Source organism: Homo sapiens, chromosome 8 (genome assembly GCF_000001405.40).
Source record: "Homo sapiens chromosome 8, GRCh38.p14 Primary Assembly".
In the NCBI taxonomy this organism is placed as follows: domain Eukaryota; kingdom Metazoa; phylum Chordata; class Mammalia; order Primates; family Hominidae; genus Homo; species Homo sapiens.
In genome coordinates, this window is record NC_000008.11 from 86,488,542 (window position 1) to 86,502,907 (window position 14,366).

The 14,366-nt window shown below is 38.6% G+C and overlaps 1 protein-coding gene across 37 annotated transcripts in view; it reads right to left on the bottom strand.

Annotated features, from left to right (window-relative positions):
- The window catches only part of RMDN1 (regulator of microtubule dynamics 1), a 46,092-nt gene that overhangs the window by 20,276 nt on the left and 11,450 nt on the right, over positions 1-14,366 (bottom strand). For all 37 annotated transcript variants that reach the window (XR_007060734.1, XM_047421832.1, XM_047421839.1 and 34 more), the window contains exon 3: positions 11-98. Coding sequence is in view for 36 of the 37 variants with exons in the window: in XM_047421832.1 (XP_047277788.1) it covers positions 11-98 (88 nt within the window). In the remaining variant the exon portion in view is untranslated. The remainder of the gene's footprint in view (positions 1-10; positions 99-14,366) is intronic.

Below are 14,366 nucleotides of genomic sequence, written 5' to 3' on the forward strand. Positions count from 1 at the left end.
CATTGCTTACCTTTCCTTGTATTGGGTTAGCAACTGATAAAGTTTTTCTGTTTCTCCGCTTTCATACAGGTAGTCTGCTTGTTCAAGTATTTCTTCAACTTCAAAGATTATAAAGGAAAAAAGACACAATAAAATAGGTCTTCCCAAGTCAGATGACAATAATTCAAAGAAACTTAAACACTTTTATATATAAGCAAATGAAATTAGATACAGAAATGACCTACAATGAAACAGCAGAAATTAGGAAGAACCTAGATGGAAACAAAGTAGAAATAAGCATAATGCTATCATAAAAAATGATTTATTGAAATCATGGGAAATAAAAAATTAGAAAACTTACTCTGGTAGTGACTAAATATGAAACACTAACAATAAATATAACACTAACGATAGCTGATGAGCTAAAAAAATTCCAAAAACTCTCATAATATTTTAAGAAAGTTTACTTATCTGTGTTGGGCCAGATTCAAAGCTGTCCTGGGCTCCATGTGGCCTAGGGGCCGCAGGTTGGACAAGCTTGCTCTACACAGTCTTTGTTGTTGCTGCTGTTAACTACCAACCATTGTAGAAAATAAAAGTCATCTACTTAAACAGCACTGAATGTTAGTAATTTGCATGAACCAAACCACACTGTTTTAATAAATTCTCTTTATACAGAGATGTTGTTCAAAGGGTCAGAGCTGTCATCAGAAATTTAGATGAAGCTAACTACACACTAAATCTGGAACTTACTGACACTATGCTCTGACTGACTCTTAAAACTAATTTATATATGACTACAAAATACATAAACATTATTGACAGTGTAGTGCCCTAAGAAAACTGTCTACTTAATGAAAAAAACAGTCTGAATTTCGGGAAATTCCAATTATTATTCAGAAACATGTACATTTAATTTTGTCTTCTATAAGGGTACTGTACTACTTAGTCCTAAGCCAAGATTCCAATGTGTATACACTTGGTATACTTTAATTAATCACAGTATACTTGAGGTTAAAAGGGTTTCTTGGCTGGGTGCGGTGGCTCACATCTGTAATCCTAGCACTTTGGGAGGCTGAGGTGGGAGGACCACCACGTCAGGAGATTGAGACCAGCCTAGCCAACATGGTGAAACCCCATCTCTACTAAAAATACAAAAATTAGCTGGGCGTGATGGCGTGCGCCTGTAATCCCAGCTACTTGGGAGGCTGAGGCAGAAGAATCGCTTGAACCCGGGAAGCAGAGGTTGCAGTGAGCCATGATCGCTCCACTGCACTCCAGCCTGGGCGATACAGCAAGACTCTGTCTCAAAAAAAAAAAGGGGGGGGATGGGGGTAGTTCTAGTTTTTAAAAAATTAGCAAAAAGAAAAATACAATGAAATTTGTGATGCAATCGTGTTTTTAAGTTAACATCATAATGTAATAATTATACTAGTTAAGAAATTAAATGACAATGGCAAAAAAAACCCCTAAAATTAAATAAAGATTATTTTTCTCAGTAATCCCACTTCATTCTGATTAGGTGTTATAAAGTTTAATAATATTCATATGGCTGGTTAATTTTTCAAATTTTGCTTCCACTCTATTCTATATTTTTATCGGATACGTGGCTGAATCACAAAGTTTGTGTTTTAACAACCCAAAGGATAAGGAGTAGTCTTTATTCTTTAGTTGATATTTATGGTAGGTAGAATAATGGCCCCCAAAGATGCCCCAATCTTAATCCCTGGAATCTGAATGTTTGGTTACATGTCAACGGTGAACTGTAGATAGAATTAAGGCTGCTAATCAGCTAATATTAAAACAGGAAATTATCCTGGATTACCCAGGTAGGCCCAATATAATTACAAGAGTCCTGAAAAGTGAAAGAGGAAGGCAAAAGTCAGAGAAGGAGTGTCAATGGAAACAAGATCAGAATGATGATTTGATGGTGGTTCTGAACATGGAGGAAGACACCTTCAGCCAAAGAATGCAGAAAGCCTACAGACACTGAAAAAAGCAAAGAAAGGGAATATTCCCTAGGGTCTCTGGAATGCAGCTCTCCCAATGCTGATTTTAGCCAGTCAGACCCATTTTTGGCTTCTGAACGGCAAGATACAGAACTAAAGAACCCTAAGATAATAAATTTGTGTTGTTTAAGTCACTGAGCTTGTCACAGCAGTGAAAGAAAATTAATATTAAATATATTGATCTGGCATATTTGAATGTGTACATAGTATGTATAAGTAAAAAAGTTACTTTTAAATATATTCATTGATTATTCTCTGACTTACTAAAAAGACTAATTACTGTCCTTAACATGATCCAGGAATTCTAAATCACATTACTCATGCGATTAAAAATGTAGAAATTGTCAGCCAGGCATGGCAGCTCACGCCTATACTCCCAACACTTTGGGAGGCTGAGGTGGAAGGATCACTTGACCCCAGAAGTTCAAGACCAGCTTGGGCAAGATGGCAAGACACCATATCTTTAAAAAAAAAAGTAGAAATTTAGTGAATAATCTAAATCTTTTTTGTGTGCATTCTTTTATAATCTCTCAAATAACTTAGCTCCAAATTACATAAATACTATAAGCTATAATATAATGGCTTTAAATATATATATAAATTTATTTATTTATTTATTTATTTGAGATGGAGTCTCACTCTGTCGTCAGGCTGGAGTGCAGCGGCACTATGTCGGCTCACTGCAACCTCTGCCTCCCAAGTTCAAGCGATTCTCCTGCCTCAGCCTCCTGAGTAGCTGAGACTACAGGTGCGCACCACCACGCCCAGCTAATTTTTTGTATTTTTAGTAGAGACAGGGTTTCACCATGTTGGCCAGGATGGCTTTGATGTCTTGACCTCGTGGTCTGCACTGCAAAAAATCAGTGTATGATTTTTTCTAAAATCAAACACTGTACAATTTATAAGAAAAAAGTACACTTCCTATGGTACTACAGACTGACATAGGCACTCGGGTGAGAGCTTGTAGACAACTCCACATATCCGCAAATCAGTTGTTTTCTAACCTAACATTTTATACTATCTTGAAAATATTTACAACTAAGTTACATTACTAACATAGAGACCATATTCTATAAAACAGACTAAACTTTTAATGTAAATTATTTTCAACTTAATAAGCAAATATTCTAAGATGAAATGACATGTTAATTCACCTAAAACTGTATAGTGAAATCTTAAATGTAACCTAAAATAGATATGTGCAAGATCATAATAATTAGAATTTTTTAAAGAAATGCCAATGATGTGACCTCCTACATATATGTTAGTAAACTTTGATTTTTTACTTTTCTAGCTGACTGTACTCTAGCCATGTGAGCAGTGTCAAGACAAGAATACTCCTCTGGCAAGATAAATAGCTATATTCCTGAGATTTCTCTATATAAGACTTAAGAAGTAGAAAATCTGAATATCTAGATTCAAGCCCCTAAGTAGCAGTAACATCATCAAAGTTTAAGGCAATTCTTTCATACCAATAATACTGTGTCTCAGCAGTACCAGCAACAGTGCAACCAAAAATGCACTGAAGTACAACAAATAACTACATACAAAGGAACACTGATCTCAGTTCTGTAGGTTCATCAATAAAGAGGAATTTTGAAAATATATATGAAAACACAAGTGAAGTGATAAAGAACCTTTAATGACTGTGACAAAAACAGAAAAGAAATTTTAAAAAACACACAAAAACAAACTAAAAAATAAAAAAGAACCTTTAAGTTGGGCACTTGTGATTATCTTTTAAGCATTTTACACATGAGCTTTCATATGCACAAAGAGTACTATGAATGTATTAGCATACCTTGGGGCTTTAAATTTTGTCTATTTTAAGGAGGTAATGAGGCCAGGCGTGGTGGCTCACACTTACAATCCTAGCACTTTGGGAGGCCAAGGCGGGTGGATCACCTGAGGTTAGGAGTTCAGGACCATCCTGGCCAACATGGTGAAACCCCATCTCTGCTGAAAATACAAAAATCAGCCGGTCATGGTGGCAGGTGCCTATGATCCCAGCTACTTGAGACACTGATGCAGGGAAATCGCTGGAACCCAGAAGGCAGAAGTTGCAGTGAAATGAGATCGCACCAATGCACTCTAGCCTGGGGTACAGAGCAAGACTCCGCCTTAATAATAATAATAATAATAATAATAATAATAATAATAAAGAGATAATGAAACGTTCCCACAGGAGTGCTTCAGTTCCTGTTAACAAGTGGGTATCTGGTACCACCTGGTGATAAATATAGATATAACCATTTTAAAAGTCATCCTATAATCCCATCCAACTAAAATGTCAATGATATTTATGCCCTTAAACTTCAACTCATTTCCAAAAAACTCCCACTTCAGAATATAACTTAGTTCCAGAAAATGGAGGAAGAAAGAGCTTTTAAATTGGCTTTGAATAAGCATAAAGCAGATCAAAAGAGAATTAAGCAGAAATTTTGAAGCATGGAATTATTTGAAGATCAATTCCTTAAAAAAAAAAAACAGCAAATGGAAGAGATATAGGACAAAGAAAAACTTCTAAGGGCCAGCGAAGTTATATTTTTATAGAAACATATGGATCATTTTCCAGGATAAAAAAAAGTGTTTCTGTATTTTTCAATTAATCTTTTTTCAAGGGCTATGGTCTGTAGTCTCACAAGTTATATAAACATGCCGAGCAACTAATTATAAAGTGATTTTTTTGTTGTTTTAAGAAAATAAAGCTATTGCATTATGGAATACAACAGGGAGGTTCCTCAAAAACTAAAAATGGAACTACTATATGATCCAGCAATCCCACTTTTGGATGTATATCCAAAGGAACTGAAATCAGTATGTCAAAGAGATATTTGTACTGCCACATTCACTAAGGCATTAGTCACAATAGCCACGCCTTAGGAAACAACCTAAGTGCCCGTTAATAGATGAATGGATTAAACAAAAAAAGTAGCACACATACACAAATGGAGTATTATTTAGCTTTAAAAGAGAAGAAAATTCTGTCATTGTGTCATTTGTAAGAATGTGGATGAACATTATATGAAGTGGAGGACATGATGTTAAGTGAAATAAGCCAGGTACAGAAAGACAAATATAGGTTGAACATCTCTAATCTGAAAATCCAGAATTTGAAATGTTTCAAAATCCAAAACTTTGTGAGAGCCAACATGATGCCACAAGTAGAAAATTCCACACCTGACACTTTTATTTTTGATTGTTCAGTGCACACAAACTTTGTTTCATGCACAAAGTTATTTAAAATCTTGTATAAAATTACCTTCAGGTTATGTGCATAAGATATAAATGCAACATAAATAAACTCTATGTTTAGACTTGGGTCCCATTCCTAAGACATCTCATTAGGTATATGCAAATATTCCAAAATCCAAAACAATCCAAAATCGGAAACACTTCTAGTCCCAAGCAGTTTGGATAAGGGATACCTACACTCTATGATCTCACTTATATGTGGAATCTAAAAAAGTCAAACTCACATAGGTAGAGAGTAGAATGGCGGTTACCAGAGGCTGGGGTTGAGTGGCAGGAGGGAATGGGGTGATGTTGGTCAAATGGTACCAAGTTTCAGTTAGACAGGAGGAATAAGGTTTAGAGATCTGCTGTACAGCATGATAACCATAGTTAATAATAATGTATTACGTATTTAGAAATTGCTAATGGAATAGACTACAGAACTCCACAGCTTAGCTCACTTAAGAGGTAGAAAAGAGAATGCTGGAAAGTGGCATAAAAACTTGTTGAGGCCGGGTGCAGTGGCTCATGCCTGTAATCCCAGCATTTTGGGAGGCCGGGGTGGGCAGATCACTTGAGGCAAGGAATTCAAGACCAGCCTGGCCAACATGGCAAAACCCCGTCTCTACCAAAAATACAAAAATTAGCTGGGCATGGTGACACATGCCTGTAGTCCCAGCTACTAGGGAGGCCGAGGCAGGAGGATTGCCTGAGTCCAGGAGGTCGAGGCTGCAATGAGCTGTGATCATGCCACTGCACTTCAGCCTGGGTGACAGAGCGAGACTCTGTCTCAAAAAACAAAAGCTTCTTGAAGTGTGAAAGAAACCAGTGATCATTTGACTCCCTCACCCTCCCCTACTGCGGCTATGAAGGCCTCATCCAACTTGTGCAGGCCTCATAGAGGCCTAGGACCTTAAAATGTTATTTTTAACTTAACAAATATCAGCTGGCTGTGGTGGCTCATGCCTGTAATTCCAGACTTTGGGGTGGGCGGATCACTTGAGGTTCAATACCAGCCCAGCCAACATGGTAAAACCCCATCTCTTCTAAAAATACAAAAATTACCTGGGCATCATGGCACATGCCTGTAATCCCAGCTACTTGGGAGGCTGAGGTGGGAGGATCACTTGAACCCAGGAGGCAGTGGTTGCAGTGAGCTGAGATCGCACCTCCACACTCTACCCTCAGTGACACAGCGAGACTCTGTCTCAAAAAATAAAAATAAACAAATATGTAGTAACTTTTTATGTCCTCAAGACACTTTTGAAAAACTAGAGGAGCCAAGATGGCTGACTAGGCACAGCCAGGAAGACATGACATTCTCCCACTGAGAGAGACCATCATCGAGTAGACTGGCACATGCTGAACAGATACTCAGAAAGAAGACATTGAGAGTGGATATGGGGAGGACACAGACCCTGAATCTGAAAAAGGAGGAAGCTGGGAACCCTGCATGGGGTTGCCAAGCACCAAGACTCATTCCTGGCACCTAGAAGCTCCTAGGGAAAGGGTAAGTGAAACTGGTGTGGAGTGGCCCACTCTCATCACAGACCTTAGAGATCCTAGCTGCAGGAGACCCTAAGACCCCTCCAAGACATTTGAAATGGCAGGGAGAACTACCTGGAGAGCTGCCAGAGAGAGAACTCTAGTCTTTGTGGAGAACAGAGGGTTTAGCATGGGAACAGCTACAGTGCAGCATTGCCATGGGTATCCATTCCCCAAGGTCACCATACTCCTCTAGGTGGTCTTAGCCTTTATTAGCAGCCAGACATGGAGAGAGCAGGGCTGTCTTGTGCACGGAATGGGGCCTATCTCATCTGAACATCCTTGTCTGCCAGCCTCTCCCAGGGTCCCTGCCTGGCCGCACCCGTAGGCAGCACAGCCTCAGCTGTCCTGGTGAAACACTTGCCAGTGGCCCCCACCTTCCCAAGGGAGGACTTTTGAAGCTGGACCCCCACAGGTGCACACTCACTCAGAGCCTCTGCCCACTGCCTCGCCAGCATGCACACATACAACATGCAAACTTAGGAAATGCAGAGAACCCCTACAAGATAGTATATAAAACAACCATCCTCAAGACACATAGTCATCAGATTCTCCAAGGTCCATATGAAAGAAAAACTCTTAAAGACAGCTAGAGAGAAGGAGGTCACCTACTACGGGAATCCCATCAGGTTAACAGTGGACTTTTTAGCAGAAGCCTTATAAGCCAGAAGAGACTAGGGGACTATATTCAACATCCTTAAAGAAAAAAAAATTCCAACCAAGAATTTCATATCCAGCTAAACTAAGTTTTATAAGCAAAAGAGAAATAGAATCCTTTTCAGAAAAGCAAATGCTAAGGGAATTTCTTACCATCAGATCTGCCTTACAAGAGGTCCTTAAAGGAGTGCTAAACATGGAAATGAAAGACCAATACTTGCCACAACAAAAACACACTTAAGTTCATAGCGACACTGTAAAGCAACTATACAATCAAGTTCACATAATAACTAGCTAACCACATGATGACAGGATTAAATTCTCACATATCAGTATGGACCTTGAATGTATACAGGCTAAATGCCCCACTTAAATGACACAGAGTGGCAAGTTGGATAAAGATGCATAACCCAATTGTATGCTGTCTTCAGGAGACTCATCTCACATGCAATGATGCCCACAGGCTCAAAGAAAAGGAATGGAGAAACATCAAGCAAATGGAAAACAAAAAAGAGCAGGGGCTGCTATTCTTATTTCAGAGAAAACAGATGTTAAATCATCAATGATAAAAAAGGACAAAGAAGAACATTACACAAGGATAAAGAGTTCAATTAAACATGAAGACAACTATCCTAAATATATATACAATTAGCATTGGAGCACGCGGATTAATAAAACAAGTTCTTAGAGACCTACAAAGAGACTTAGATAACCACACCATAATACTGAGAGACTTCAACACTCCATTGACAGTGCTACACATATCATTAAGGCAGAAAACTAACAAAAATATTCAGGATCTAAAGTTGACAATCAAATGGACATTAACAGACATCTACAAGGTACCCTACCCAAGAACAACAGAATGTACATTCTTCTCACCTGAGCACGGCACACACTCTAAGATAGGCCACATGCTTGGCCATAAAGCAATTCTGAACAAAATAAAAAAAAAAACTGAAATCAAACCAAGCACTCTCTCAGATCACAGCTCAATAAAAATAGAAATCAATATCAAGATCTCTCAAAACCACACAATTACATGGAAATTAAACAATTTGCTCCTGCATGACTTCTGGGTAAACAATGAAATTAAAGCAGAAATCAAAGACTTCTTTGAAACTAATGAAAACAAAGATTTACCATCCCAGAATCTGTGAGACACAGCTAAAGCAGTGCTAAGAGGAAAGTTTATGGTGCTAAATGCCTGTATCAAGAAGTTAGAAAGATCTCAAATTGACAACCTAACATAATATCTAGAGGAAGCAGAGAAACAAGAGCAAACCAAATCCAAAGCTAGCAGAAGAAAATAACAAAATTAAGAGCTGAACTGAACTGAACAAAATTGAGATGTGAAAGCCATACAAAAAAAATCAATGAAACCAAAACTTGGTTCTTCAAAAGAATAAACAAAATTTATAGACTGCCAGCTGGATTAATCAAGAAACAAAGAGAGGCTGGGCACAGTGGCACATGCCTGTAATCCTAGCACTTTGGGAGGCCAAGGTGGGTGGATGATGAGGTCAGGAGTTCGAGACCAGCCTGACCAACATGGTGAAACCCTGTCTCCACTAAAAATACAAAAATTAGCCAGGCATGGTGGCACACACCTGTAATCCCAGCTACTTGGGAGGCCAAGGCAGGAGAATTGCTTGAACTCGGGAGGCGGAGGCTGCAGTGAGCTGAGATCGCACCACTGCACTCCAGCCTGAGCAACAGAGCAAGACACTATCTCAAAAAAAAAAAAAAAGAAAGAAAGAAAAAAAAAGAAACAGAGAAGATCCAGATAAACATAATCAGAATGACAATGGGAATATTAACACTAACACCAGAGAAATACAAAAACCAGGCCAGGTGCGGTGGCTCATGCCTGTAATCCCAGCACTTTGGGAGGCTGAGGCAGGCAGATCACCTGAAGTGGGGAGTTCGAGACAGCCTGACCAACATGGAGAAATCCCGTCTCTACTGAAAATATAAAAAATTAGCGAGGTGTGGTGGCGCATGCCTGTGATCCCAGCTACTCGGGAGGCTGAGGCATGAGAGTCGCTTGAACCCGGGAGGTGGAGGCTGCAGTGAGCCGAGATCGTGCCATTGCACTCCAGTCTGGGCAACAAGAGTGAAACTCCATCTCAAAAATAAAAATCCTCAGAGACTATTACAAACACCTCTAGGCATACAAACTAGAAAACACAGAAGAAATGGATAAATTCCTAGAAACATCCCAAGATTGAACCAGGAAGAAATGAAATCCTTGTAATAGTCCAATAACAAGTTCGAAAATTGAATCAGTAGTAAAAAAAAAAAACCTACCAACCAGAAAAAGCCCTGGACTAGATGGAGTCATAGCCAAATTCAACCTAATGCACAAGTAAGGGCTGGTACCAATCCTATTGAAATTATTCCAAAAAATCAAAGAGAAGGGACTCCTGCCTACTCATTCCATGAGGCCAGCATCATTCTCATACCAAAACTTGTCAGAGACACAATGGAAAAGGAAAACTTCAGGTCATTAACTCAGGTGAAGGCAGATGGGCTGGGCATGGTGGCTCATGTCTGTAATCCCAGCACTTTGGGAAGCTGAGGTGGACCGATTGCTTGAGCTCAAGAGTTTAAGACCACCCTGAGCAACATGGAGAAACCCCGACTCTACAAAAAAATACAAAAAATTACCCAGGCGTAGTGGTATACAACTGTAGCCCCAGCCACTCAGGAGGTGGAAGTGGGAGGATCACTTGAGCCTGGGAGGCGGAGGTTGCAGTGAGCCAAGATTGCACTACTGCACTCCAGCATGGGTGACAGAGTGAGACCCTGTCTTAAGAAAAAGAAAAAAGAATATAAACATAAAAATCCTCAAAAAAGTATTTGCAAACTGAATCCAGCAGCACATTGAAAAGATAATACACCACAAAAGTAGGCTTTATTCTTGAGATGCAAGGTTGGTTCAACATGCAGATCAATAAATGGGATTCATCACAGAAACAGAACTAAAAACAAAACAAAAACCACATGATCATCTCAAAAGACACAGAAAAGGCTTTTGATAAAATTCAACATCGCTTTACCTTAAAAAACATCAACAAACTAAGCACTGAAGGAACGCACCTCAAAATAATAAGAGCTATCTATGACAAACCCACAGCCAACAACTGAATGTGCAAAAGCTGGAAGCATTCTCCTTGAAAAATGGAACAAGACAAGGATGCCCACTCTTACCACTCCTTTTAAATATAGTACTGGAAGTCCTAGCCAAAGCAATCAGTCAAGAGAAAGAAAGGAAAGGCATCCAAATAGAAAGAAAGGAACTCAAACCATCTCTCCTTACAGATGATATGATTCTTTACCTAGAAAACCCCATAAACAGTCTGCTCAAAGGCTCCTGGAACTAATAAACAGCTTCAGTAAACTTGCAGGTTACAAAATCAATGTATGAAAATCAGTACATTTCTATACACCAATAACACCCAAGCTGAGAGCCAAATAAAAAACGCAACCCCATTCATAAGAGCCACAAAAATAATAAAATACTTAGGAATACAGTTAGATGTTTTACCACAATGAAAAGGAAATCAGAGATGACAGAAACAAATGGAAAAACATTCCATGCTCATGGACAGGAAGAATCAATATTGATAAAATGGTCTTACTGCCCAAAGCAATTTACAGATTCTTATTTGTTATTCCTGTCAAACTACCAATATCATCTTTCACAGAGTTACAAAAAACTACTCTAAAATTTGTATGGAACCAAAAAAGAGCCCAAATAGCCAAGGCGATCCTAAGCAAAAATAACAAAGCTGTAGGCATCACACTACCTGACTTCAAACTATACTACGAGACAGTAACCCAAACGGCATTATACTGGTACAAAAACTGACACATAGGCCATGGAACAGGTTAGAGAACTCAGAAATAAAGCTGCACATCTACAACTATCTGACCTTCAAAAAAGCTGACCATAACAAGCAATGGAGAAAAGAATCCCTATTCAATAAATGGTGCTGGGATAACTGCCTAGCCATATGCAGAAGATAGAAACTAGACCCCTTTCACCATATACAAAATCAACTCAAAATGGATTAAAGACTTAAATATAAGACCTACAACTATAAAAACCTAGAAGAAAACCTAGGAAACACCATTCTGGACATAGGCCCTGGCAAAGATTTCATGGCAAAGTCTCCAAAAGTAATTCTAACAAAAACAAAAATAGGTAAATGGGACCTAACTAAAGAGCTTCTATATAGCAAAAGAAACTATCGACAGGTTTCTTAAACAGACAACCTACTGAATGAAAGAAAACATTTGCAAACTATGCATCTGACAAAGGTCTAATATCCAGAATCTATAGGGAACTTAAAACAATTGAACAAGCAAAAAACAATCCCACTAAAAAATGGGCAAAAGACATGAACACTTCTCAAAAAAAGACATACAAGCAGCAGCCAATAAACATGAAAAAATGTTTCACATCACTATCACCACAGAAATGCAAATCAAAACCAGAATGAGATACCATCTCATACCACTTAGAATGGCTATTCTTAAAATTTCAAAAAAAAATAATTAAAAAAAAAAAAGATGCTGGTGAGGTTGTGGAGAAAAGGGAATACTTATACACTGCTGGTGGGAATATAAATTAGTTCAGCCACCGTAGAAAGCAGTTTGGAGATTTCTTTAAAAAAACTTAAAATAGAACCACTACTTGATCCACCAATCCCACTACTGAGAATATACCCAAAGAAAAACAAATTGTTCTACCAAAGTGACACACACGTCCTTAAGTTCATCACTGCACTGTTCACATTAGCAAACACATGCAATCAACTGAGATGCCCATCAATGGTGAACTGGATAAAGAAAATGTGATACATACACACCATGGAATACTATAAAGCCATTTTTAAAAAAACCCAAATCACATCCATTGCTGCAACATGGATGCAGCTGCAGGCCATTATCCCAAGCAAATTAATATGGGAACAGAAAACCAAATACTGCATGTTTTCACTTGTTAACTGGGCACTAAACACTGAGTACACATGGACACAAAGACAAGAACAATAGACGCTGGGGCCTACTAGAATGGGGAGGGCAGGAGGTAGGCGAGTGTCAAAAAGCTACCTACTGGGTACAATGCTCACTACCTGGGTGACAAAATCACTTGTACACCGAATTCCAGCAACACATAATTTACCCACGTGACAAACCTGCACGTGTACCCTCTGAATCTAAAATAAAAGTTGGAAAAAAAATAAACAAGAAAAAAATGGACTATGATAAAGCCAAAAGTAATTCTGGTTTTCCCTTTCAAAGTACTGAATTTTGTTACTTCAGAAAGCACTACATCTTTACAATCATTTCTATAATGCTACCAAAATACACTGAAACTAAATGTGATAGATTCAAAGAAGAAATAGAGATAAGGAGCTGGGTGTCGTGGCTAATGCCTGTAATCTCAGCACTTTGGGAGGCTGAGGCAGGTGGATTGCTTGAGCCTAGGAGTTCAAGACCAGCCCAGACAACATGGTGAAACCTCGTCTCTACAAAAAATACAAAAATTAGGCAGGCATGGTGGTGTGCATCTGTAGTCTCAGCTACTTGTGAGGCTGAGGTGGGAGAATCACCCGGGCCCGGGGAGGTAGAGGCTACAGCGAGTTGTGATCATGCCACTGTGGCCTAAGCATCAGAGTGAGACCCTGTCTCAAAAAAAAAATAAGTTCTAATCTCCACTCTAACATTTTGACTTTCAAGTTTAACTCTGTGAACTTCTTTTCAAAAATTATTATAATGTGATAAGATAATAAGACTTGTCCTAACTATTTTATAAGGCTGCTGTGAGAATTAAAGTCTAGGTTGCTTTAAAAAGATGAATTATTTTAAGTATTTGCCAAAATAAATCATTCAGCCAGTAACAAAACCAAGTTCTCTGCTTTGTCCTTCTTCATAAATACATTTAAAAAAAAAAAAAAAGAACAGTGCAGGGCTTCTCAATTATCTGCTTTTTTAACGGAAAGATAATCACAGATAAATGAAATCAATAGATAACTAGCAATCTTTAGATCATGTTCTCAAATTCTTCTATCAGAAGTTGAATAAGACCATCTATTCAAAATCAAATCTCTGCTTCTTTCCCCAATCACCCTCTCCTTTATAATTAAAAAGTGAGGATTGTAAAAAACAAAAAAGCTTCACTCATTAATTTCTTCATATGATATTGCTCTAATATACAGAAATTTTGGCTCACAATTGGTTTAACTAATTTTTTTTTAACTGGCAAGTCTTTTTTTTTGAGACAAGGTCTTGCTCCGTTGCCTAGGCTGGAGTGCAGTGGTGAGATCATGGCTTACTGCAACCTTGACCTCCTGGACTCAAGTGATCCTCCTGCCTCAGCCTCCTGTGTAGCTGGGACAAGCACGCATCACACACCCAGCTAATCATTTGAATTTTTGTAGAGATGGGGGTCTCACTTTGTTTAAGACCACTTTGCCCATGCTGGTCTTAAACTCCTGGGCTCAAGTGATCCTCCCACCTCAGCCTCCCAAAGTGCTGGGATTACAGGCATGAGCCGCCATGCCCAGCCAAGTTTTAATATACGTTTACTTATCTATATTACGCCAATAAGAAATTTGATGGATTTTTCTTTTTTTCGCTTTCAACTTGTTACTTACCAAGCAGCATTCTGTTTGTAAATAAAATCTATCTATCTCAAAGTACTAGAGCCTTTTGTTAACCAAATCAAGAAGAATATAACACCCCGGGATTGGTTTCATTTTGTCACTATAAAGCAGGGATTAGCAAACTTTTTCTGTAAAGATCCAGAGAATAAAATATTTCAGGCTTTGTGAGCCATACATGGTCTCTGTAGCATGTTCTTTTTCTTCCCCCCAACTCTTCAAACTCAACCCTTTAAAAATGTAAAAGAATATTCTTCTTAGGTTAAGG